Source organism: Homo sapiens, chromosome 5 (genome assembly GCF_000001405.40).
Source record: "Homo sapiens chromosome 5, GRCh38.p14 Primary Assembly".
Taxonomy (NCBI): domain Eukaryota; kingdom Metazoa; phylum Chordata; class Mammalia; order Primates; family Hominidae; genus Homo; species Homo sapiens.
The window spans coordinates 157,567,687-157,590,555 of record NC_000005.10 but is presented as its reverse complement, the minus strand read 5'-3'; the positions used below and the strand labels follow the sequence as shown (position 1 = coordinate 157,590,555).

General features: G+C 43.6%; 1 protein-coding gene, 1 long non-coding RNA gene and 1 pseudogene across 5 annotated transcripts in view, besides 10 other annotated features; 1 reads left to right on the top strand and 2 right to left on the bottom strand.

Moving 5' to 3' along the window:
- RNU6-390P (RNA, U6 small nuclear 390, pseudogene) lies at positions 10,957 to 11,059 on the bottom strand (annotated as a pseudogene).
- Positions 11,535 to 12,149: an enhancer, noted in NCBI's record as "NANOG-H3K27ac-H3K4me1 hESC enhancer chr5:157005415-157006029 (GRCh37/hg19 assembly coordinates)". NCBI's record gives its function as "activates a minimal SCP1, AML or CMV promoter by ChIP-STARR-seq in naive H9 embryonic stem cells {active_cell/tissue: H9 hESC(naive)}" and the evidence as "EXISTENCE:reporter gene assay evidence [ECO:0000049][PMID:30033119]".
- Positions 12,150 to 12,766: an enhancer, noted in NCBI's record as "NANOG-H3K27ac-H3K4me1 hESC enhancer chr5:157004798-157005414 (GRCh37/hg19 assembly coordinates)". NCBI's record gives its function as "activates a minimal SCP1, AML or CMV promoter by ChIP-STARR-seq in naive H9 embryonic stem cells {active_cell/tissue: H9 hESC(naive)}" and the evidence as "EXISTENCE:reporter gene assay evidence [ECO:0000049][PMID:30033119]".
- Positions 12,767 to 13,382: an enhancer, noted in NCBI's record as "H3K27ac-H3K4me1 hESC enhancer chr5:157004182-157004797 (GRCh37/hg19 assembly coordinates)". NCBI's record gives its function as "activates a minimal SCP1, AML or CMV promoter by ChIP-STARR-seq in naive H9 embryonic stem cells {active_cell/tissue: H9 hESC(naive)}" and the evidence as "EXISTENCE:reporter gene assay evidence [ECO:0000049][PMID:30033119]".
- LOC124901121 (uncharacterized) lies at positions 13,946 to 15,577 on the bottom strand. 3 transcript variants are annotated; one of them, XR_007059018.1, is made up of 2 exons: positions 15,186 to 15,577; positions 13,946 to 14,276 (listed from the first exon to the last, which is right to left on the bottom strand). It is a non-coding gene; the product is annotated as an uncharacterized LOC124901121 (long non-coding RNA). The 3 variants fall into 3 exon arrangements; XR_007059017.1 differs by having other exon boundaries at positions 13,946 to 14,273; XR_007059019.1 differs by lacking the exon at positions 15,186 to 15,577 and adding an exon at positions 14,600 to 14,819 and having other exon boundaries at positions 13,946 to 14,273.
- Positions 14,630 to 15,069: a silencer, noted in NCBI's record as "silent region_16561". NCBI's record gives its function as "represses an Ori minimal core promoter by ATAC-STARR-seq in GM12878 lymphoblastoid cells {active_cell/tissue: GM12878}" and the evidence as "EXISTENCE:reporter gene assay evidence [ECO:0000049][PMID:35858748]".
- ADAM19 (ADAM metallopeptidase domain 19) overlaps positions 14,781 to 22,869 on the top strand; it is a 98,472-nt gene continuing 90,383 nt past the window's right edge. For both annotated transcript variants that reach the window (NM_033274.5, XM_047417858.1), the window contains exons 1-2: positions 14,781 to 14,953; positions 19,576 to 19,661. In NM_033274.5, the coding sequence (NP_150377.1) occupies positions 14,860 to 14,953; positions 19,576 to 19,661 (180 nt within the window). In that variant the 5' untranslated portion in view covers positions 14,781 to 14,859. The remainder of the gene's footprint in view (positions 14,954 to 19,575; positions 19,662 to 22,869) is intronic.
- Positions 15,240 to 15,319: an enhancer, noted in NCBI's record as "active region_23524". NCBI's record gives its function as "activates an Ori minimal core promoter by ATAC-STARR-seq in GM12878 lymphoblastoid cells {active_cell/tissue: GM12878}" and the evidence as "EXISTENCE:reporter gene assay evidence [ECO:0000049][PMID:35858748]".
- Positions 15,556 to 16,085: an enhancer, noted in NCBI's record as "H3K27ac-H3K4me1 hESC enhancer chr5:157001479-157002008 (GRCh37/hg19 assembly coordinates)". NCBI's record gives its function as "activates a minimal SCP1, AML or CMV promoter by ChIP-STARR-seq in primed H9 embryonic stem cells {active_cell/tissue: H9 hESC(primed)}" and the evidence as "EXISTENCE:reporter gene assay evidence [ECO:0000049][PMID:30033119]".
- Positions 18,701 to 18,995: a silencer, noted in NCBI's record as "tiled region #5046; K562 Repressive DNase matched - State 8:EnhW". NCBI's record gives its function as "represses a minimal TATA promoter and a strong SV40 promoter by Sharpr-MPRA in K562 cells {active_cell/tissue: K562}" and the evidence as "EXISTENCE:reporter gene assay evidence [ECO:0000049][PMID:27701403]".
- Positions 18,701 to 19,076: a biological region, named in NCBI's record as "Sharpr-MPRA regulatory region 5046".
- Positions 18,957 to 19,076: an enhancer, noted in NCBI's record as "active region_23523". NCBI's record gives its function as "activates an Ori minimal core promoter by ATAC-STARR-seq in GM12878 lymphoblastoid cells {active_cell/tissue: GM12878}" and the evidence as "EXISTENCE:reporter gene assay evidence [ECO:0000049][PMID:35858748]".
- Positions 19,257 to 19,306: an enhancer, noted in NCBI's record as "active region_23522". NCBI's record gives its function as "activates an Ori minimal core promoter by ATAC-STARR-seq in GM12878 lymphoblastoid cells {active_cell/tissue: GM12878}" and the evidence as "EXISTENCE:reporter gene assay evidence [ECO:0000049][PMID:35858748]".

Sequence of the window (22,869 nt, the reverse complement as noted above, 5' to 3'; positions counted from 1 at the left end):
TATGCTAAAAAAGGAGAGAAAATAGAATCATAAAAATGCTCAAAGCCACAAAAGCCAGAGAAAATATGAAAGACAAAAATAGGAAAACAGAATAAGGGCAACAAATAGAAAACAGTAACAAATATGATAGGTAATAGTTCATCTATATCAACAATCACTTTAGATGTCAAAGATCTAAATATATCAATTAGAAGACAGATCAGAGTAGATCAAAAAAGAAGACTCAACCACATGTTGTCCGCGATAAACTCAACTTTAAATATAAAGACACATATAGATTAAAAGGAAAGGGATAGAGAAAAATACACTCTGCTAATACTAATCAAAAGCGATTGTAGTGTAACAGAGCAGACTTCAGAGCAAGGAATGTTATCAGGAATAAAGGGAGACATTATATAATGATGAAGGTGTCAATATTCCAAGAAGACCTAACAGTCCTAAAGTGTATGCACCTAACAGAGAGCATCAAACTATGTGAGGCAAAAGCTGATAGAACAACAAGGAGAAATAGATGAAGGCACCATTATAGTTGGGGACCTCAATATTCCTCTGTTGGTAACAGATAGATAAAGCAGGCAGAGTATCAGTAAGGGCATAGTTGAACCCAATAGTACTTCATTCAACAACAGCAGATTTATACATTCTCAAGATGTCATGGAACATTCACCAAGATAAACCCCATTCTGAGCCATAAAACACACCTTAACAAATTTAAAATAATAGAAGGTATACAAAGGCTGCAGTCAGATTTCAACTGAATGAAATTAGAAATCAATAACAGAAAAATAGGTGGAAAATCCCCAGATACTTGGAGATTTAAAAAAATACTTTCACCAGGCATGGTGGCTCATGCCTGTATAATCCCAGCAATTTGGGAGGCTAAGGCAGATGTATCGTTTGAGGCCAGGAGTTCAAGACCAGCCTGGCCAACATGGTGAAACTCTGTCTCTGCTAAAAATACAAAAAATTAGCTGGGCGTTGTGGCACATGCCTGTAGTCCCAGCTACCCCGGAGGCTGAGGCAAGAGAATCACTTGAACCTGGGAGGCAGAGGTTGCAGTGAGCCAAGATGGAGTTCCTGTACTCCAGCCTGGGCAACAGAGCAAGACTCTTCTCAAAAGAAAAAAAAAAAAAAGAAAATTTCAAAGAATTAACCAGAACAAACAAAATAACCAAAACCACTCTTGGAATTAATATGTAATTATAGCAAGGTTACAAGATACAAGGTTGATATACAAAAGTTAGTCACTTTTCTATATACCATCAATGAACAATTGGAATTTGCATTAAAAACATATGACTTTGGTTTGAATGTTTGTCCCCTCAAAAATTCATGTTGAAACTTAATCCACAATGCGGCAGTAGTGAGAGGAGGGGCCTTTAAGAGGCTTTGCCCTCATGAATGGGTTAATCTATTCATGGATTAATGGATTAATGGGTTATCATGGGAAGGGACTGGTGGCTTATAAGAGGAGAAGGGAACTGGACTAGCATGCTGAGTCCTCTCATCATGTGCTACCCTGTGTCACCTTGGGACTCTGCAGACAGTCCCCACCAGCAAGATAACCTGCACCATATGCTGCTCATCAACTTTGGACTTCTTAGCCTCCACAATTCTAACAAATGCGTTTCTTTATTATCAATTACCCAGTTTTCAGGTATTTTGTTGCAGGCAACAGAAAGCAGACTACGACGCCATTTATATTAGCACCTTCCCCAAAATGAAACACTTAGGTATACATCTAACAAAATATGTACAAGATCTAGATGAGAAAAACTACAAAAACTAAAAAAACTAAATAAATAGAGAACTATTCTATGTTCTGAATGTGAAGACTTATTATTGTCCAGATGCCAATTCTTCCTAACTTGATCTGTAGAATTAACACAATTCCATTAAAAAAAAAATAGCGGGGTGTGGTGGTTCATGCCTATAATCCCAGAACTTCGGGAGGCCAAGGTGGGTGGATCACTTGAGGCCAGGAGTTTGAGATCAGCCTGGCTAACATGGTGAAACCCCATCTCTACTAAAAATACAAAAGAAAAAATAAATTAGCTGGGCATGGTGGTGAGCACCTGTAGTCCCAGTTACTTAGGAAGCTGAAGCATGAGAATTGCTTGAACCCTGGAGGCAGAGGTTGCAGTGAGCTGAGATCATGCCACTGCACTCCAGCCTGGGCGACAGAGTGAAACTGTATTAAAAAAAAAAACAAGTTATTTTTTGGATATCAATAAACTGATTCTAAAGTTTATATGGAGAGGTAAAGACCCAGCATAGCCGACTCCATATTGAAGGAGAACGAAGTTGGAGGACCTGTCAAGCCTTACTATAAAGCTATAGCGGTCAAGACTGTGGTGTTGGAGAAAGAATAGAGAAATAGATCAATGAGGAGTAGTAGAACCCAAAAATAAAACTCATAAAATACAGATCTTTGACAATGAAGCAAAGGCAAATACAATGGAGTAAAGCTAGTCATTTCAACAACAACAACAAAAAAACTAGACACCCATATGTAAAAAAAAAAGAATCTAGACACAGATCTTACCCTCTTTAAGAAATTAACTCACAATGGATCATAGACCTAAATATAAAATGCAAAACTGTGAAACTCTTTGAATACAACATAGGAGAAAACTTGATGATCTTGGGTATGGTGATGACTTTTTAGACACAACATCAAAGGCATGATTCTTGCAAGAAACAATCGATAAGCTGGACTTCATTAAATTAAAAATTTCTGGCTAGGTGTGGTGGCTTCTATCTGTAATCCCATCACTTTGGGAGACCAAGGTGGGTGGATGGCTATAGCTCCCAAGTTTGAGACCAACCTGGGCAACAAGGTGAAACCTGGTTTCTCCAAAAAAAAAAAAAAAAAAAAAAAAATTAGCTGGTCATGGTGGCACGTGCTTGTAGTCCCAGCTACTCAGGAGGCTGAGGTGAGAGGATGGCCTGAGCCCAGAGGCAGAGGTTGCATTGAGCCAAGAGTGCACCATTGCACTCCAGCCTGGGTGATAGAGCCAGATCTTGTCTCAAATAATAATAATAATAAAAATAAATACAAACTTCTGCTGTGTGATGACAATATCAAGAGAATGAGAACATAAGCCATGAATTGGGAGAAAATATTTGCAGAAAACATATCTGATAAACAACATTTATCCAAAAATATCAAGAGCTGTTAAAACTCAACAATAAGAAAATTAGCAACCCAAATGAAAAATAGGCAAAGGACCTGAACAGACACCTTACCAAAGAAGATACACAGATGGAAAGGAAGCATATAAAAAGATGTTCAATATCATATGTTATTAGAGGATTGTTGATTAAAACAGCAAGATACCGCTACATAGCTATTACAATGGCCCAAATCCAAAACACTGACAAGATCAAATGCCGATGAGGATGTGGAGCAATAGGAATCCTCATTCATTGCTGGTGGAAATGCAAAATGGCACAGCCACCTTGAAAGACAGCCTGGCAGTTTATTTTATTTTTTATTTTTATTTTTTTTGAGATGGAGTCTGACTCTGTCACCCAGGCTGGAGTGCAGTGGCTTGATCTCAGCTCACTGCAAGCTCCACCTCCCAGGTTCAAGTGATTCTCCTGCCTCAGCCTCCCAAGTAGCTGGGATTACAGGCATGTGCCACCACCCCTGGCTAATTTTTGTGTTTTTAGTACAGACGGGGTTTCACCATGTTGGCCAGGCTGGTCTCAAACTCCCAACCTCAGGTGATCCACCTACCTAGGCCTCCCAAAGTACTGAGATTACAGACATGAGCCACTGCATCCCACCAAAGTCTGGCAGTTTATTACACAACTAAACATACTCTTATTTTACCATCCAGCAATCAGGCTCCTTGGTATTTACTCAAATGAATTGAAAACTTATGTCCACACAAGAACCTGCACACTAATGTTTATTCATAATCTAGCTTTATTCATAATTGCCAAAAACTTGGAAGCAACCAAAATATCCTTTAATAGGGGAATTAATATATATACTGCAGTATATATAGACAATGGAATAAAGAAGTAAGCTATCAAGCCATGAAAAGACATAGAGGAAACTTAGATGCCAATACTAACTGAAAGAAGCCAGTCTGAAAAGGCTTCATGCTGTGCAATTCCAACTGCATGCATTCTGGAAAAGGCAAAAGTGTGAAGACAGTAAAAAAGATTAGCGATGGTCAAGAATTAGTGGGGAGGAAGGGATGAATAGGCAGAACACAGAGGATTTTTAGGGCAGTGAAACTATTCCATATGTCACTGTAATGGTGGATACATGGCATACATTTATTAAAACCCATAGAATGTGTCAAGAGTGAAGCCTAAGGTAAACTATGAATTTGGGGTGATGATGTGTCAATATAAGTTCATCAATTGTAACAAATCTACAGTGCGAGATATAGATAGTTGGGGGAGAGGTTTTGTTTATGTGTGCCAGAAGATACATGGGAACTCTCTGTACTAGATTCTCAATTTTGCTATGAACCTAAAACTTCTCTAAAAATAAAGTTTATTAATTAAAAAAATGTTTCTATTAGGGTCAAATGGGAGAAAATAGGCATTGGTGCCTCTTTACTGGCTGTTCTTTGAGCTAAGGGGGCATCATTCAGATGTTAAGTGTTTCCAAGGACAGGCCTCCTGAATTCAGCCCAATTTCCAGAGTGACGAGGCAATGAGAAAAACTTATTTGGCCAGGAGTTTGAAGCTGGGATGACCCATGAACCTTGGTATGACAGTCCATGGCCCCCTCAGGCAATATCACCTCTTCAGGCCTCAGTTTGCTCATCTATGGTAATATCAGAGTAGCACTGTTGTTATAGACAGTGACTTTAATGTTACTCACATTGTGGTTTGAATCCAGGCTTCAGCTCCAACCTGGCTACCATATGAATATTTTCTAGTTCCCATTGTACCACTACCTCCAGGCACAGTTGCCTCATCTGTAAAGTAGGAGTATCAGTAGTACCTACCAGAGAGGATAAAATGAGATAATGCACTGGGCACATTGTAAGCTTTGTCCAATCAATAGTAACTATTATTATTCAGTTGAACCATATGACATTACCAATGCTTAACTGTTTCTGACCTACAAAATCAACACTTCCTCATAGTTTAACCTAAGATCTCTTCATGGGACTATTATGGGCATTAAATGAGATGATGTAGGCACTGTGCTTGGAACCAATCAGGGTGCTCCAGATATGATAGTAGTTATTATGCACCACGTTGGTGACAGTACCCAATGCTGACAAATCAAAGGACAAAAGTCATATGTCAATAAACTTGATCCTCCTCTGTAATCGGTCACTTAATTTACTTGTCAGTTCCTATCAGCTCCTTTCTTTTATGCGCCTCCCTCTACCATAATTGTTATAGTGGAAACCTTATCTCAGAATCTCTGTAGATTTTAGCATATGCTGGGCACATAATAGGTACTCATTGAATGCTTGCTGAATGAATGATTTCAAGAGCTTTGTGAGTTATCCAGGGTTTAGGGAGATTTGCTTCTCTTGTGAATTATTTAAAAAAAACAGAAATAAAGACTAAAGTCTTTAATATATCCATAAAACTTGAGTAAAAGACTCTATTTAGACTTTAATTCCTTTCATCAAAATGGATATAATCATCCTACCTGGCTACATCATGGAGTATTTGAAGAGCAAGATAATTGCTAAGAAGCTACACATCCATTACAATGGCTAAAATCAAAAGAACTGGCAATACCAAGTGCTGACAAGGATGCAGAGCAACCAGAACTTTCATACCCTGCTTGTGGGAAGGCAAAATTTTACAACCACTTTGGAAAATATTTTTTGCAGTTTCTTGTAAAGTGAAACATACACTTAACCACAATACCCATTGGAATTGCTTTCACCCTATAGAAACGAAAGATTGTGTTAACATAAAACCTGAATATATATATATAGTGACTTTATTCATAATCATCAAAAACTGAAACACCCAAATATCCTTCACGGGTGACTGAATAAACCCACAATGATACATCTATACAATGGAGTACTACTGAACAATAAAAAGGAAGGAAATATTGATAATGCAGAGACCTGGATGAATCTTAAATGCACTAAGCTAAGTGAAAGAAACCATATCCAGAGTCTATATCCTGTGTAGTTCTATTTATATGACATTCTGGAAAAGGCAACTTGAGACGGACGTAAAATAGACCAGTGATTCCAGGAGTGAGGGGAGTGGCTGAATGCAAAGAGATAGGAGGAAAGTTTTTGGTGTGGTCTTGACTGTGCAAGTGGTTATTCCACTGTGTGTGCTTGTCAAAAATCATGGAACCATAGATTTAAAAAATGGAGAATGTTAATATATGTAAATTATACCTAAGTAAACGGAACTTTAAAGAAAAGAGCAAGTTGCTGAGAAAATAGTTCACAAAGCAAAGTTATCACTGGTCCAACATTATTCCCATAACAGGGACTCAACAAAGATGATTCTTCAATGAGGGGCTTGAAAGTTTGCGCTGAGCCAGGATGAGATAATTATTATTAATTGTTTAATTCTAATTTGTTTAATTAAACATTGATTGTGTCTCCCAAATGCTGGAGGGCTGAGTGAAGAACAAGGTCCAGCTCTTATTCACAAGGGGCTCACGATCTAGGGAGAGGGGATAGGAAAAAGACAATAATAGTATAACATGACTATTATCATTGATAATAATTAGAGAACGAGTATAATTAGACTCTTCACACATTATACAACTAAAAGCACAAGCTAGGCATTATAAATAACACCACACCTCTTAGTACTCACTAGCAGTAGAAGGAGGGTAATTCTGGCTAGCATGCATTGACTGCCTACTCTGTGATGGGTGCCATTCTAAATACCCATTTAAGGCTCACAAAAACTGTCATTATCATTGTCCTTTATAGATGAGACAACAACATCGCAGAAAAATTTAGTGGCCCAAGTTCACACAGCTACGAAGGGACAGAAAAGGGATTTAACCCCTGGCAGGATGGCCACTTCCTAAGCATAATATTAATAGTATACTCTAGCTAGAGATCAACAGTGACCTGTGTCACCTCAACTTCCACATTCTGGAACTGGTTGCTGTAACTTCAGCCCAGTTTTCCCATCGTCAGAGGAGAAAGTCAGCCATATATACAGAGGTCAAGTTTGCAAAACTCTCTGTTTAACATACCAGGAAAAACTCTTTTTCCTTTTGTGTTCCTTTCTGTTTTTAACACTTGCCCACCTTCCCATGACTAAAGTAATATAGTTATGTGTCATATAATGACATTTCAGTCAACGAGGGACCAGACAGATGCCTGATCCCATAAGACTGAAACATTCCTGTCCCCTAGTGGCATCATAGCCCATCGTAGCACACTGCGTTGTACTTTCTATGTTTAGATACACAAGTACCGTCGTAGCACACTGCGTTGTACTTTCTATGTTTAGATACACAAGTACTTACAATTGTGTTACAGTTGCCTACAGTATTCAGTACAGTAGGATGCTGTACAGGTTTGTCGCCCAGGAGCAATAGGCTATACCATATGGCCTGGTTGTATAGCAGGCTATGCCATCTAGGTTTGTGTAAGTGCACGCTATGATGTTCCCATGACAAAATCCCCTAATGATGGGTCTCAGAATGTATCCCTGTCATTAAGCAATGCATGACTGTACTTCACTATTGTAGAAAATGAAAGAGAGAGAAAGAACAAACAGGAAAACAAAACCAAACCAAAAAAACCCCTGTCATCCATAGTTTTACCATGCAGAGGTAACCACTGTTAACATTTTGGCACAGTTCCTTCTAGTCTTTTTAAAAATGTCTTTTATTTACATAGCTGAGATCAGACTTAAATGTAATTTTGGACCCTGCTTTTTTTCACCTACCATCAGAGCAGAAACTCCCATCATTTTAAGTGGCCGCATAATAATCCATCTTATGGATATTCTATAATTTATGAACTGTTCTTTCACAGTTGAATATTTAGGTTGTTTCCAATATTTTCACTATTATAAATAACACAATTATGAGCATTCTAGTCCATAAATCTGTGTGTGCACTGCAGATTATTTTTTTAGGATCGTTTCCCAGAAATGTAATTACTAGGTTAAATGTCACGAATATCTCAAAGATTATGTAGCGACTTAATATTCTTTATAAATAACATATATGTTCTTTACAAATACATGGGAAGGCTTCTATGAGGTCAAAGCTGTATATATACTCGTTCCTGTGGATAAGTAGGGAGGACGAGTAGGATGAGACGACACTGGGAACTCTGTGACTTCTTGGTCATGCATGAATCACTGGACTTTTTGTCTTGTGAGCTACCTCCCAATTTTCAGGCCTACATGCTACTTAAATATTGATCAGTTGAGTGCCAGTAAAGGGAAGGGAACTTTGAGAATGGAGTTTCTATGTCTTTTGCAAGGAGACCTGTCTACAAAGTCAGTTAGGCATGGCACTTCAGCATTTTCCACTTGTCACGGAACTTTCACTTCCATCATCTCAATTGCTCATCACAGCTCCTGGGTGAGATGCACTGGCGGCAGCCTTTCCCGTTCCCAAGTTATTCAGCAGAAACTCAGTCCCAGAAAGGAGAAGTCACCTACCCAAGGTCACGGAGGTGGTTAGAGAGAAAACTGGGACTAGAATTTTAGTCTCATGGCTCTAGGGTTATAGCCATAATTATAGACTACATTTGTCTCTCCCACCCCCCAAATTCATACGTTGGAACCTTAACCCCCAATGTGACTGGATTTGGAGATAGGGCTTCTACAGAGGTAATGAAGGTTAAATGAGGTCACGAGGGAGGGGCCCTACTCCGATAGAACTGATGTCTTTATAATAAGAGAGGCTGGGCGCGGTGGTTCGCAACTGTAATCCCAGCACTTTGGGAGGCCGAGGCGGGTGAATCAGTTGAGGTCAGGAGTTCGAGACCAGCCTGGCCAACATGGTGAAATCCCATCTCTACTAAAAGTACAAAAAATTAGCTGGGCGTGGTGGTACACACCTGTTATCCCAGCTACTCGGGGGGCTGAGACACGAGAATTGTTTAACCCGGGAGGTGGAGGTTGCAGTGAGCTGAGATTGTGCCACTGTACTCCAGCCTGGGTGACAGAGCAAGACTTCATCTCAAAAATAAAATAAAATAAGATAAAATAATAAGAGGAAGAGACCCACCAGCGCATCCCCTCCACTCTCTCTCTGTCTCACTGCATGTGCAGAGAAGAGGCCGTGTGAGAGCACAGTGAGGAGGTGGCCATTCTACAGGCCAGGAAGAGAGGCCTTGCCAGAAAGCAAGCCTGATGGAAGCTTGAGCTTGGACTTCTAGCCTCCAGAACTGTGAGAAAATAAATTTCTGGCCGGGTGTGGTTGCTCTCGCCCGTAATCCCAGCACTTTGGGAGGCTGAGGAGGGAGGACTGCTTGAGCCCGGGAGTTTGAGACCAGCTTCATCTACATGGCAAAACCCCATCTCAACAAAAATATACGAAAATTAGCCAGGTGTGGTGGTGTGCGCCTGTAGTCCTAGCTACTCGGGAAGTGGAAGGATCGTTTGAGCCTGGGAGGTAGAGGTTGCAGTGAGCCAAGATCGCACCACTGCACTCCAGCCTGAGCAACAGAGAGAGACTCTGTCTCAAAAAAAAAAAAAAAAAAAAAAAAAAAATCTGTTGTTTAAGCCACCAGTCTGTGCTATTTTGTTTTGGCAGCCTTAGCAGACTAATACAGGTTTTGATCCTGAGAAGTGGGCTATGCTATAACAAAATACCTAAAAATGCAGAAGTGAGTTTGGAACCGGGTAATCGGTAGAGGCTGGATGAGCTTTGAGGTGCATGCTAGAAAAAGCCAAGATTGCTTTGAAGGACTGTTGATGGAAGTGTAGATGTTAAAGGCGATTCTGGCCAGGGCTCAGGAAGACAGGAGGAGAGCTATAGAGAAAGCTTCTGTCATCTTAGGGAATGCATATATCACCAGGAACAGAATATTAGTAGAAATATGAATATTAAGAGCTATTCTGGTGAGGTCTACGATGGAAATGAGGAACATGTTATTGGAAACTGGAGGAAAGGTGATTCTTGTGCAGGGGCTAAGGGAAAACTTCCCCTTTGCCCTCTGAAGTTTCAGCAAAAAATCAACTCACAAAAGGCAGATTAACTGGAGACAATGCATACAAATTTATTAGCATGCATGGGAGAGAATCACAGAGTGATTGTCCAATATCCCATTGGGGTATGGACGTTTATATACCCTACTTCTTAGGGGAAAGGGAGATAGGGGAGTGCGGATGATTTTTGGGGGATAGTACTTGATTTTTAGGGGAATTCAGTGGGCTTGAAGAACATACAATGGCCTAGGACAGAGTCTTTTGGCCCACAGACCTGACAATGGTTTGTGACAAAAGTCTGTTCAGGTGTATTGACAGACTTCAGTCTTCCTGCGATATGAATGCAGTTAATGAAAACACAGGGAAGGCACCCGAGACTGTTGTCTTCTTTGGCAGGTCCAGACTTTAGGCACATAAGGGAACTTCAGAGAACAACTTCATGCTGTGCTTTGGGAGAGACAAAGGATTGAGAGACAGGAGAGTGTGGGGGAAGGTCAAAGAGACCTTAAGACTTCTTTAGTTTAATGTGTCAAAGTGCCATATCTTGGGATATTGGTTTCTGAACCCCAATACTACTTACAACGTGGCAAAGGGTTCAGCTGAATTGCTGTGATATTATGATACATATGTATATTGGTTTTAATCCACGGTTCCTGGCTCATATCTCCCATAGCCCTTGTTATAGTCTTTTGTTATGATGTTGGGGCACTTTAGGCCTCAGAAACAGGTGTCAGGAAACAGAATCTGACCTTCTTCTGCCCTTCTTTCACCTGCCTACAGCAGGACTATAATCTAATTGTGAGTCATAGACCCTCATTGCAGAGATGATCCTGGCCTATACTCTTTATTTTTTACTTTTAAAGTATAGAATGCATCATGAATTTTCATGTCATCCTTGCACAGGAGCCAGGGTAATCTCTGTATCTTTCCAATTTAATAGACGTAGTGCTGAAGCAAGCTGCCACATACTGTTGAGGAAGGAATGTTGCACAGAGAGGTCAAGAAGAATCTGAAGACACAGGCCTTGCTGGGTTCATGTTAACAAGTGCTTCTCCGAGTTCTGTGAGCTGCTCTGGTAAACTAATTGAACCCAAAGAGGTGTCCTGGGAACCCCAACTGGAAGCCAGTTGGTCAGAAGTTCTGGAAGAACACACGTCTGGTGTCTGAAGGGGGCCCAGTCTTGGAAACTGAGACCTCAACCTGTGGGATCTGATGCTATCTATAGTGTCTAAATTCACTGCTGCTTGGTGTGTGGGGAAAGCCCCCACATCTTTGATCACAGAAGTCTTCTCTGTTGATTGTTGTTGTGTTGAGTGAGAGAAGAGGAAAAAGCACTTTGAGTTTGTGTTTTCTCCACCACCAATTGTGTTCTAGTGTTTTGTGGAAAGTAGAAATTGCAAGTGATGAACTTAAATATTTAGCTGCAGAGATTTCCAAAGTGTTGAAGATGAGGCCTGGCTTCTCCTCGGTACTTATGTAAAATGTGAGTGGATGGAGATAAATGGAAGGAATTGCTAAGCAAAAAGGAAACAGAACTTGAAGATTTGGAAAATTATTGGCCTATTCATATTGCAAAAAATAAAAAAGGATTTTCTGGAGAGGACACTAAGGGTGTGGCTGGACAATAACCCATGGAGCTAGTCAGCCATCTCATTAGAAGTCAGAAATAGAGATGGGTTTTACCAGCAAAGACATTGCCAATTTAGACCAAAAGGAATAAAGACAGGATGAAACAAAGGAAGGCTTTTAGAATTTTGTTCTACGGGACAGGACAATACAGCTCGCTTCATTCTTTAAGAAAAATGATTCACAGATCATCAGGGTTGCCACTCCCACCACAGCGGGCTGTTGGGGAGGCAGGGAGTGAAAGGGTGGAGTCTCCTTCTCTTGAGCAGGCCAGGCTGCCCCTGCCCAGTGCCTTGGGGTGGGGGACTGTGACAAAGAGCTATGGTGCTGGCCACTGCCTGGTGCTGTGGGGGTGACACTGCTGACCCAGTGGGCCTACAGGGCAGAATATCCAGCCAAAGAAGATTGTTGTAGAGCATTAAGATCTGATGGAATTTGCCTTGCTAGGTTTTGCACTTTTGGGGACTGTCACCTTGTTCTTTTCAGTATCTCTCTTTTGGAATCAGCACGTCTATCCTATGCCTTTCCCACCACATTGTATTTGGAAGCTGAGAGGAATTTTGCCTCAGGATGAAACAAACTTCAAGTCTCACCCATATCTAATACAGATGAAATTTAGATGACACTTCAGACTTGGAATTAATGCTGGAATGAGTGAAGACATTTGGGCTGCTGGGATGGGGTGGATATATTCTGCACGCGAGAAGTGTGAAAGGAAAATAAATCTTAGGACTCCCAAATCACTAAGCCAAGGAAAAAGTCAAGCTGGGAACAATGTCAGGCAAACCTGTCCCCCATTTTATTCTTTTCTTCTTTTTTTTTTTTTTTTTGAAATAGAGTCTCACTCTGTCGCCCAGGCTGGAGTGCAGTGGCGTGATCTTGGCTCACTGCAACCTCCCCTTCCGAGGTTTAAGCGATCTCCTGCCTCAGCCTCCTGAGTAGCTGGGATTACAGGTGTGCCACCACGCCTGGCTAATTTTTTTTGTATTTTTAGTAGAGACAGGGTTTCGCCACATTGGTCAGACTGGTCTCGAATTCCTGACCTCAGGTGATCTGCCCGCCTTGGCCTCCCAAAGTGCTGGGATTACAGGCCTAAGCCACAATGCCAGGCCACCATCCTATTCTTAAATAAGATAGCTACAAAGAGAAACAGCTACATACCTTCCTCACAATTTTCACACAAGGAAATTCCTTGTGGACAAAGGACAGACAGAATTTAAAGCCATCCCTCTGAGGCTCACCGGAAACAAATGCATATCTGATTGCTTCTTCTGCCCTATTGTTTATGTAAAAATGTAGATTCACTGAGCTAGACTAAATTGTGTATTCAGTGGAAGGTTGATCAAGGACTCAAAAGAATGTAACCTCTTCTGTTTCTTATCTACTTATAACCTGGAAGCACCACCCTTTCTGCAGCTTGGAGTTGTCTTGCCTTACCGGACCGGAAGCAATGTACATCCTACACATATTGATTGATGTCTCATGTCTCCCCAAAATATATAAAAGGAGGCTACACCCCCACCACCCTGGGCACATGTTGGGACCTCCTGAGGCTGTGTCATGAGCACGTTCTTAAGCTTGGCAAAATTAACCTTCTAAATTGACTGAGACCTATCTCAGATATTTCGGGTTCACAGAAAGATACGAATTTTACAGCAGCTGGAGACTAACGGAGTCCCAAACGACATTAATGGCCAGAACCACTTATTTGATTTCCCTCATGGGTGCCCATGAGTAGGGTTTGATAGACCTACCTACCCATCATCTTCAGGAGTGCCTCGCCCTCTCCAACACTTAGCACTTCTCTAGTCAACCTGGGTTTGACTAAAGAGGCTCAGAAAAAGGAACAGATGGACGAGGTTTGAGGCTGGGATTCTACAACGAGGCTTTGCTAAAACTTGCTGAGGGATCTTAGGCAAGTCATTTCTCTCTCATTATCAGTTTCTCCACCTGGAAAATAAGGTGTGTTGCATCAGGCTCTGGAGTTATACGGATGTGGGTTTGAATCTAGGCACTGACATTAGCTGTGTAATCTTGGGCAAGTGGTTTAGCCTCTCAGGTTTGATTTCCTCATTTCTAAAACAGGGATAGTACTAGTACCTACCCCATGGGATTACTGGGCTAATGAAAAGAGATAATGTATGCAGAGTCCCTGGCTCATAAAAGTTATTTTCTCCGATTAATTAAATAAGTGAATATGTGTAAAGTGCTGAAGACAGCGTTTGACACTTAGCGTTTTATCAGTCTTAGCTATCATGATTTTCTTATTCTAGTACATAGAAAGTCCTCAATAAGTAACAGTAGTTATTATTATTTTTGGTCACATGTCCCTGTGTTTCCCTCCAAAACCCTAACCATCCCCAATTCTGGTTTTCTCCCCGCATGCAGCCCAAGGGTTTTCACGTCCCAGTGCGATTGTCTGGGCTGTTTCCTCCGCCTGATGTTCCATTTCTCCTCCTCCCGATCTCAGATGGCTTCTCCTCTGGGATTCCTCTGGTCTTCATCACTCCCTCCTCCCAGGCAGAAGGAATGGCTCCTGGATTTGTGTCCTGCTTAAAAAAAAAAAAAAAAAAAAAAAAAAAAAAAAAAAAAGAAGTCCATATAGCACTTAGTTCTTTGTGCCTGGCGGTTGGGTTAACTCTTTCTGAGCCTGTCTCCGAGAGTGGCGGCCCCCGGGGGACGGCGCTGGGTGAATCACCTCTGAGTGTCACCCAAGGCGTCTGGCACAGTGCGGGACAGTAAACGGGCCGCTGTGCGGAGAGGGGTCCAGTTTAACTCCTAGAAGCCCGAGTCCCCGACCCTCTACAGGCCGCGTCCACCACAAATCCCTCCTCCTGGGGGGCTCGGATTCTCCCTTCCCCGCGGTCTCCCTCACCTGAGCCAGCCCCGCTCCCCCGAGTCTCGCCAGCTCCTCCCCGGCCCCTCCCTCCAGCCCCCTCCGGGCTGGAGCCTCCCCTCCTCCATCCCCTGGCGGAGGCCCGCGGGGCTGGAGGCGGAGCGTCTCGGCAGAGGGCTGGGAGCCGGGTGGGGAGGCGCGGGGCGAGCCGGGGGGTTCCAGACGCGCCTCCACCGCCGGGCAGTGGGCAGGTATGGCTGAGGGCGTGTGAGCGCCGAGCGCTAAGGGCCGCCGCCACCATGCCAGGGGGCGCAGGCGCCGCCCGGCTCTGCTTGCTGGCGTTTGCCCTGCAGCCCCTCCGGCCGCGGGCGGCGCGGGAGCCTGGATGGACAAGTAAGTGGCCAGGCGCGGGGGGATGGAGGCTGGGTGGCCCGGAGACCTGGGAGTAGCCTTGCGGGTCCGGAGCGCTGGGACCGCGACCCCTGCGCCTCCCGCAACTCCGCGGGGCCTGCGCCCCCGCCGTCCCCAGCCTGGGAGCCCGGGCTTTGTTCCCACGTTCTGCGCCCTGGGAGGTGGCAGAGGTCGGGGAAACCCGGCGCAGCCAGAAAACAGCCGGTCCGCTCACTGGCTAGCCTTCCCTTCTCGCCTTCTCCTTCCTCTGTTTTTCTGCTTTTGGCTTCTCTTTCCGCCGTTCTCGGGGCTTATCCTCCTCCGTTTTCTCACGGTCCCTCGTGTCCGCTCCGCCTCTCTCTCTGTCTTTCTCTCTACCGCCCGCTGCACTCGCCAACGCCGAGCATCCCGAGCGCCCTGCCCGTGTGGCCTGGGAGCGGCTTCCTGGGACCAGGCTCGGTGCCTGCCACACTGGTGGGGTAGGACATAAAATGCCCGCGGCAGACTGTGGTAGCCTTGGCTAGGGGATGGCTCGCTGGGTATCTGCAGCCACACACTTCGGATCCCCGAGCTGGCAGGAGCCCTACTGAAGGCCAAGTCAAACGCACCCATTTCACAGATGGGGAAACCGAGGCCCACAAAAGGGAAAGGACTTGCCCAAGGCCACGCCACGGGTTGAGGTCCGCGGTGGCACTGGAAACCAGGGCTCTCTTTCCACGCCAACCCGACGGCCGCCTTCTTTGGTCCTCAGTTTCCCCTTCTGTGAAGCGAAGGGGTCTGACTCGATGTTTCCAGCTAAGATGCCGGGTGATGTCCGTGTTTCTCAGGACTAGTTTCCCAGACACCAATCCCCTCCCCGGCTCCATCCCTCGGGGGCTATAAGCAGATTTCGCGGAAGGCTTGGTCCCGGGGGGCGGTGCCCGGGTTCTCTCATTATGACCGGAGAAGGCTTAGCCCTGGCTCCACCGCTGCAGACGGGCTGGGCTGACTCCAGACTGCTGCTTGGGGGACCAACAGTCAGCGTTTTCAAATAGAGCGAGCACCGGCGGAGCGAGGGTGGGCTGGCTGGACCCCCGGGCCGCCTCAAACCCAGAGGCTGAGAGCTCTTCCGACAGTTCGGAACTTCCAGGGGCCGAGGTCGGGCGGTCCTCCCAAAGGGCTCAAAGGAACCGCCCTTTGAGCTGTTGTTCCGAAGGGGAAACTGAGGCACAGAGGAGGTTCTAGGGTAGCACCAGGCCTGTGTCAGTGCTTAGTGCAGGAGAAAAGCATGAAGAAAGACAAGGAAAGCTAGTTACTGCTCCTAGCACAGGCGCCTTCTCTGAGTTTTGAGTCCTTGGAGAACACTTGCTGTAGAATATCTGGGAAATAACGAAAAGTGTAAAAGAAAATGATCTGCAACCCCCAAATCCACAGTTGCTGTTGATATTTTGTTTTTTTTCCCCTCCACATTCTTTGTGTGTTCCTATGGATATATATTGATAAAATTGGAACCATACCCATAAGTACAGTTTCGTGTCTTGCGTTTTTCACTTCACACCATGAGCGTTTTCCACATCATCAAATTCTCTGTAAAACATGATTTTAATGACTCTATACAAAGTTTTCAAAAGTTAAAAACACGACTCATACAAATGTGGCCAAGATTTATTCAACTCATTAATGAGGTAGCAAACAGGAGAGTAAAGCTGATTCAGGGAGCATTAGAAAGGGGTGATACAAGCATTGGAGAAAGAATGTTGAAATCATGTGGCCCAGGGCAGATGCAGAAATGGTGGATGCCCCATGAAGCAAACCATAATTCTTGGTTATCTTTCTTTTTTAATTTCCTTCCTTCATTCCTTCTTTTCTTTCTTTTTTTTTTTTTCAGAGTCTCTATCTGTTGCCCAGGCTGGCATGCAGTGGCACGATCTGGGCTCACTGCAGTCTCTGCTTCCTGGGTTCAAGCTATTCTCCTGCCTCAGCCTCCTGAGTAGCTGGGCTTATTGGCATGTGCCACCACACCCGGCTAGTTTTTGTATTTTTAGTAGAGACGGGGTTTCACCATGTTGGCCAGGCTAGTCTCAAATTCCTGACCTCAGGTGATCCGCCCGCCTCGGCCTCCTAAAGTGCTAGGATTACAGGCGTGAGCCATTGTGCCTGGCCAGGTTATCTTTTTACTATGCTGAAATCACTTACATCTCTGTCAGACAGAATTCTATAGATATATATAGATTATATAACTTCACAGAGTGTAGCTTTTAATCAATGGTAAATAAAAAGTCAATGGTACATTCCCCTAGATAATGCAGTAATCCATGGGTGAGTCTGTTAAACAATGCTCTGATACAACATTGAGAAGACATCTTGCTTGCTCTTGCCTTATTTCCAAGTTTTGGAGACCTTTTCTTAACATGTACTATGTTCCTCTTTTGGTGAGATTTTAGATTGCTTTCACTATTTTTTTACAATCGTAGATATCATTTAATTCCATTAAATGCTCCATTAAATATTATAGAATTCCTTTTTGTTTAAAATAATATAGACTTATCAGAGCCACCAGGGCAAGAGCGATGCTTGTCTTTTTTTTATTTCTGAGATGGAGTCTTGCTCTGTCACTCAGGCTGGAGTGCACTGGCGCAATCTTGGCCTCCCAGATTCAAGGGATTCTCGTGCCTCAGCCTCCTGAGTAGCTGGGATTACAGGCATGCGCCACCACACCCAGCTAATTTTCATATTTTTAGTAGAGACAGGGTTTCACCTTGTTGGCCAGGCTAGTCTCAAACTCCTGACTTCAGGTGATCCGCCCACCTCGGACCTCCAAAGTGCTGAGATTACAGGTTGTGAGCCACCGTTCCTGTCCTGCAGTATGCTTGTCTTGTTCCTCCATGAATATTAAGCACCTATTCATAGCATAGTACTTGGCACATAGTTAAGTACTCAGAAAATATTTGATAAATATATGAATGCATTGTTTCTAATATTTGCCTGTCTGATGAATTGGTGTTGGTCCAATAAGATTATTTTTAAAATCTATGTTGACTGCAAGTGCATTATATCGGTATTCTGAAGAGAATGTTAATAATTACTCATAATCACCACTCTAACAGAACAACTATGGCCATCTTTTTATCATTCATATTCTGTATGATTGATGTAGTTAGTTTAGACAGAATAGATTTTGGAGTCCTCAGCCCCATTCCCAGGAACACTACGGAGACCAGTCTGTTTAGGTGTCGGGAAATTACCATTTTGTTAAGATAGTCTGCCGCCAGTATTTGAGTTCTGCAGCGCCCTGAACAAATCTCTCCTATAGTTTAAATTCTCTTTCTTGCAAAACAGGACTCCTCCCAGTCTCTAGTAAAAATACAAAAAAATTAGCCGGGTGTGGTGGCGGGTGCCTGTAGTCCCAGCTACTCGGGAGGCTGAGGCAGGAGAATGGCATGAACCCGGAAGGCGGAGCTTGCAGTGAGCCGAGATCACACCACTGCACTCCAGCCTGGGCGACAAAGCGAGACTCCGTCTCAAAAGAAAAAAAAAACAGGACTCCTACTTCCTACTTCCCAGGGTTGCCTTGAGCATGAAGGAGAACTGGTTTGGGAGAGTGATTTGGGAAGTAGAAAGTGGAATACAAATGTAAACTTGCCATTAGGAAGCTCCAATTAATGTAACTTGATGCAGTGATGCTCTGCGGAGTAGGAGGCAATTTCATATTGACTCTTCACAATAAAGCTGTGAGATGGGCAGGTAGCATCTTTGTCTTCATTTTACAGGCAAGAAAACTAAAGCTCCATGGGAGCAGTATTCATGGGCTTGACCTCCAGAATATGCCCAGAATCCCACCGCTTCATTCCTCTCCACTGATGTCATTCTAATCTGAGCCACCATCATCTCTCACCAGGGCTCCAGCATATCTCTAGCCTGGCCTTCCTGCTTCTGCTCTCACTCTCGCCGCTCTGCCTCACCCCACCCCCATTCTCCACCACGCAGGCAGAGTGATCTTTTTTAAACTTAACACAGATCATATTGCTCTGTATTTAAAACACCCAGTGCCTTCCAAGTCTATTTATAAGAAAATCCAGACACTCTCCGTGGTCTCTGCATTATCAGACCCATGGCTGTCTTGCTGACCACATCTCATACCAACTTCCTCTTTCATTTACTAGCTACCCCTACCTTATGCTTGTTCCTTCAACAGGCCAAGTTCACTTCTGCTCAGGCAGGGCCATTGCACTTGCTGTTTCCTCTACCTGGGGCACTCTTCCCCCACGTTTTTGCATGGCTGCCTTCTGGCTCCTCAGGACTCAAATGCCATCTATGCTGATCATCCTGTTTCAAATAGGCACCTCCTGATAGATGTCTCTTTACTCCATGACCCCAACTTATTTTATTCAGGGTACTTAGCACCATGTGAGAACATTTGTTCATTGTCTGTCTCCCACCTTTACAAGTACAGAGACCTTATATGTCCTATTTACCACAATATCACCGACACCTAGAGTGCCTAGTTCCTAGGAAGTGCCAAGAGCCTGAAATCCAGCAAGTCTTCTAATGACCCAGTGCAGGGGCAGCTCACAGAAAGTGCATGTGTGGCTTAGCTGGGGTATAGAGGTCTGGGATTCCAATGGTTTTGCATCTTGTATTGGCAGGAGGAAGTGAGGAAGGCAGCCCCAAGCTGCAGCATGAACTTATCATACCTCAGTGGAAGACTTCAGAAAGCCCCGTGAGAGAAAAGGTAAGACTCAAAAGACCTCATTTACACTGGCAGGAGTTGACAACTGAGGTTTGGGCTACCTACTCAACTTTCTTAGAATCCCAGTCATCACCATTAGTTCTGTTTCTGGCCCACTCTGTCCTCTGGGTGCCCATTTTGGAGATCACAGATGGGACTTTCCTTCCTTGTATGACAAACTTCTAGAACACTTCCCAATGCTATTAGTTGAGGAAATGAAAATTCACATTAATGCTGACACAAGCTAAGTGCAGATGTGTTGGTGTCACAGAAATCACTTAGTCTTGATTGGAATTCATTAAATATTGTCATTGTTATTTTTGCTCTGCATAATACATACTTCATTTTCTTGAAGGAATAATGTACTTGGAGAGAAAAAAGATAATAATATAAACTATAAACTATTTTAATAAGACGCAGCGTAGAGACCTAGTACTGGGGAATGTATCTTAAAATCCAGTAGGCTCCCCTGGCCAGAACACCAGGAAAACACATAGGCTTTATCAAAGAGATTGGGAAGAAAACAAAAAACACTGTCCTGTTCTTGCAGAGAGGACCTGAGCATTTAGGATATTCTTTGTGGTTCTGGTTTTTGTTTTTTGTTTTTTTGTTTTTGTTTTTTTGTTTGTTTGTTTGTTTTGACAGAGTCTCACTCTGTCGCACAGGCTGGAGTGCAGTGACATGATCTCGGCTCACTGTGAGCTCCGCCTGGCAGGTTCAAGCGATTCTCATGCCTTAGCTTCCGGAGTAGCTGAGATTACATGTGTGTGCTGCGAAGCCAGGCTAATTTTTGTATTTTTAGTAGAGATGGGTTTTCACCATGTTGTCCAGGGTGGTCTCGAACTCCTGACCTCAAGTGATCCGCCCACGTAGTCCTCTCAAAGTGTTGGGATTACAGGCGTCAGCCACTGTGGCCCACTGTGGTTTTGGTTTTTCCAGCAAGTGAGACGTGAAAGAGCAAGAAAGGAAGATGCGGTTGTTGTGTGCCAGTAACCAGCTATGTGACCTGCCACTTGCGAAGTGGTAGATTTTCTTCATTTATAAAATAGTGCTTAGAGAGAATAAGGAGAAAAGAAAGCTGGGGAGAGGGGTTTTTTCTAAGATCTCTTTGGGTTAAAATGATTTGTGATTTATTGGGCAACATATAGGAGCAAGATTATAGCAGGAAAGAGATGTGTCAGGAAAGACTTCAGACATTGTGGCTGTTGAATCTGGAAAGATAAATGGAAAGGAGCAATGTCCAGGATCCTTGAAACTCTGGCCAGGATAATACAGACATGTCCAAAAAGGCTCCAACTTGGATTTACCAAGGGAACCTAACAGTGTAAATTTTAGGACAGACCAAGTGCGATGGCTCAAGCCTGTAATCCCAGCACTTTGGGAGGCTGAGGCAGGAGGATCATTTGAGGCCAGGAATTTAAGACCAGCCTGGGGCACCATACTGAGATCCTATCTCTACAAAAAAAAAAAAAAAAAAAAAAGAAAATTAGCTAGACCTAGGGGTGTGTGTCTGTAGTCCCAGCTACTCTGAAGGCTGAGGTGGGACGATCGCCTGAGCCCAGGAGTTTGAGGTTATAGTAAGATATAGTCGCATCAGCATCACTGTCCTCCAGTCTGAGTGACAATGCAAGACCTTGTCTCAAAAAAAAAAAAAAAAAAAAAATCAGGACAAATAAAAGCAAGTAACATTTTGTCCTAAAGGCAGTAAACGCATGGAATTCATTTCATCAAAAAGTAGGAGAGGCTGAAAATAGCTTCAGGAAAAGTCTCGACAAATTAATGGATGGTCATCCTAGAGCAGATTACTTTTAACAATTAAGATCTTGGGTATTGCAACCTATTCATACCCCCTGAGGAATGGACCTGCTACTTTTTATAGAGGCTTCTTTGTTCTCTCCAGATGTGGATGCCGGGCATCCTCAGGAAGGGCCTGAGAACAAAGCAGAGGACCAGATCCTGTCTTTGTTCCCAACCATTGTCTGCCCAGCATATGGGTCATTGTATTCTGTAGGAATAGTCAGCATAGTGCCTGGCACCGTAACTATTTGTTCAATGAACAAATGAATGAATGTTGAAGAGAGAGAGACTAGAGGCTGGATTTCACTTGGGCCTCTCATTCTCATTTATATAATTAATTCACTCATTAAACATTTTTTTCTTCTCTTTTTCTCATCACTGACTTAAAGCTCACATTCATTAAACATTAACTGAATACTTATACTGTATACTAAATATTATACTAGATCTTAGGGGGAATGCAAATATAGGACAGATTTCCAATACCCTATGGAGCTAAAGATCTATTTAATCTAGACTGAAGGGGAAAGAATTTTTAACCCATCCCTAGGAGAGGTATAAATAGTGGGTCAGCTTACTGTACTTCATAGGAGAGGAGAGCTGATGGTGCCTCTTCTTAATACAGAGTGGAGTTTCATCAGAAAAGCTCATCAGTAGAGCCGGACAGAAAAGCTTCATAGATCCTTAAAATGCAGTTTCATTGTTTTGCTTGAAATGCCCCATAGAAAAAGGGAACATCCTTTTTTAAATATCAGTGCCTGAGCACCTTCCAGAATAGAGAGAATTATTTTTGGATCACCCACATAAAAATAAAGATTACTACTCCTGGCGGGGCATGGTGGCTCACGCCCTGTAATCCCAGCACCTTGAGAGGCCGAGATGGGTGGATCACCTGAGGTCAGGAGTTCAAGACCAGCCTGGCCAACATGGAGAAACCCTGTCTACTAAAATTACAAAGATTAGCCAGGCGCAGTGGTGCACACCTGTAATCCCAGCTACTTGGGAGGCTGAGCATGAGAATGGCTTGAACCCTGGAGATGGAGTTTGCAGTGAGCCAAGATTGGGTCACTGCACTGCAGCCTGGGTGACAGAGCGAGACTCTGTTTAAAAAAAAAAAAAAGATTACTATTCCTGCTGCAGCTTGTGTCTCTTTGGGGGAGGGGAAGATAGTGCTTTGATTTGGGGCAGTATTCATTTTCTGTGGGGGCAGTCACATGGTTACCTACCTCTTGGATGAGGGAATTGCTGTAGCTCTGTTGCTGTGTCGTCTTTCTTTCTTTCTTTTTTATTTTTTTTTTTTGTTTAGACGGAGTTTCGCTCTTGTTGCCTAGGCTGGAGTGCAATGGCGTGATCTCAGCTTACCGCAACCTCTGCCTCCTGGGTTCAAGCGATTCTTCTGCCTCAGCCTCCCAAG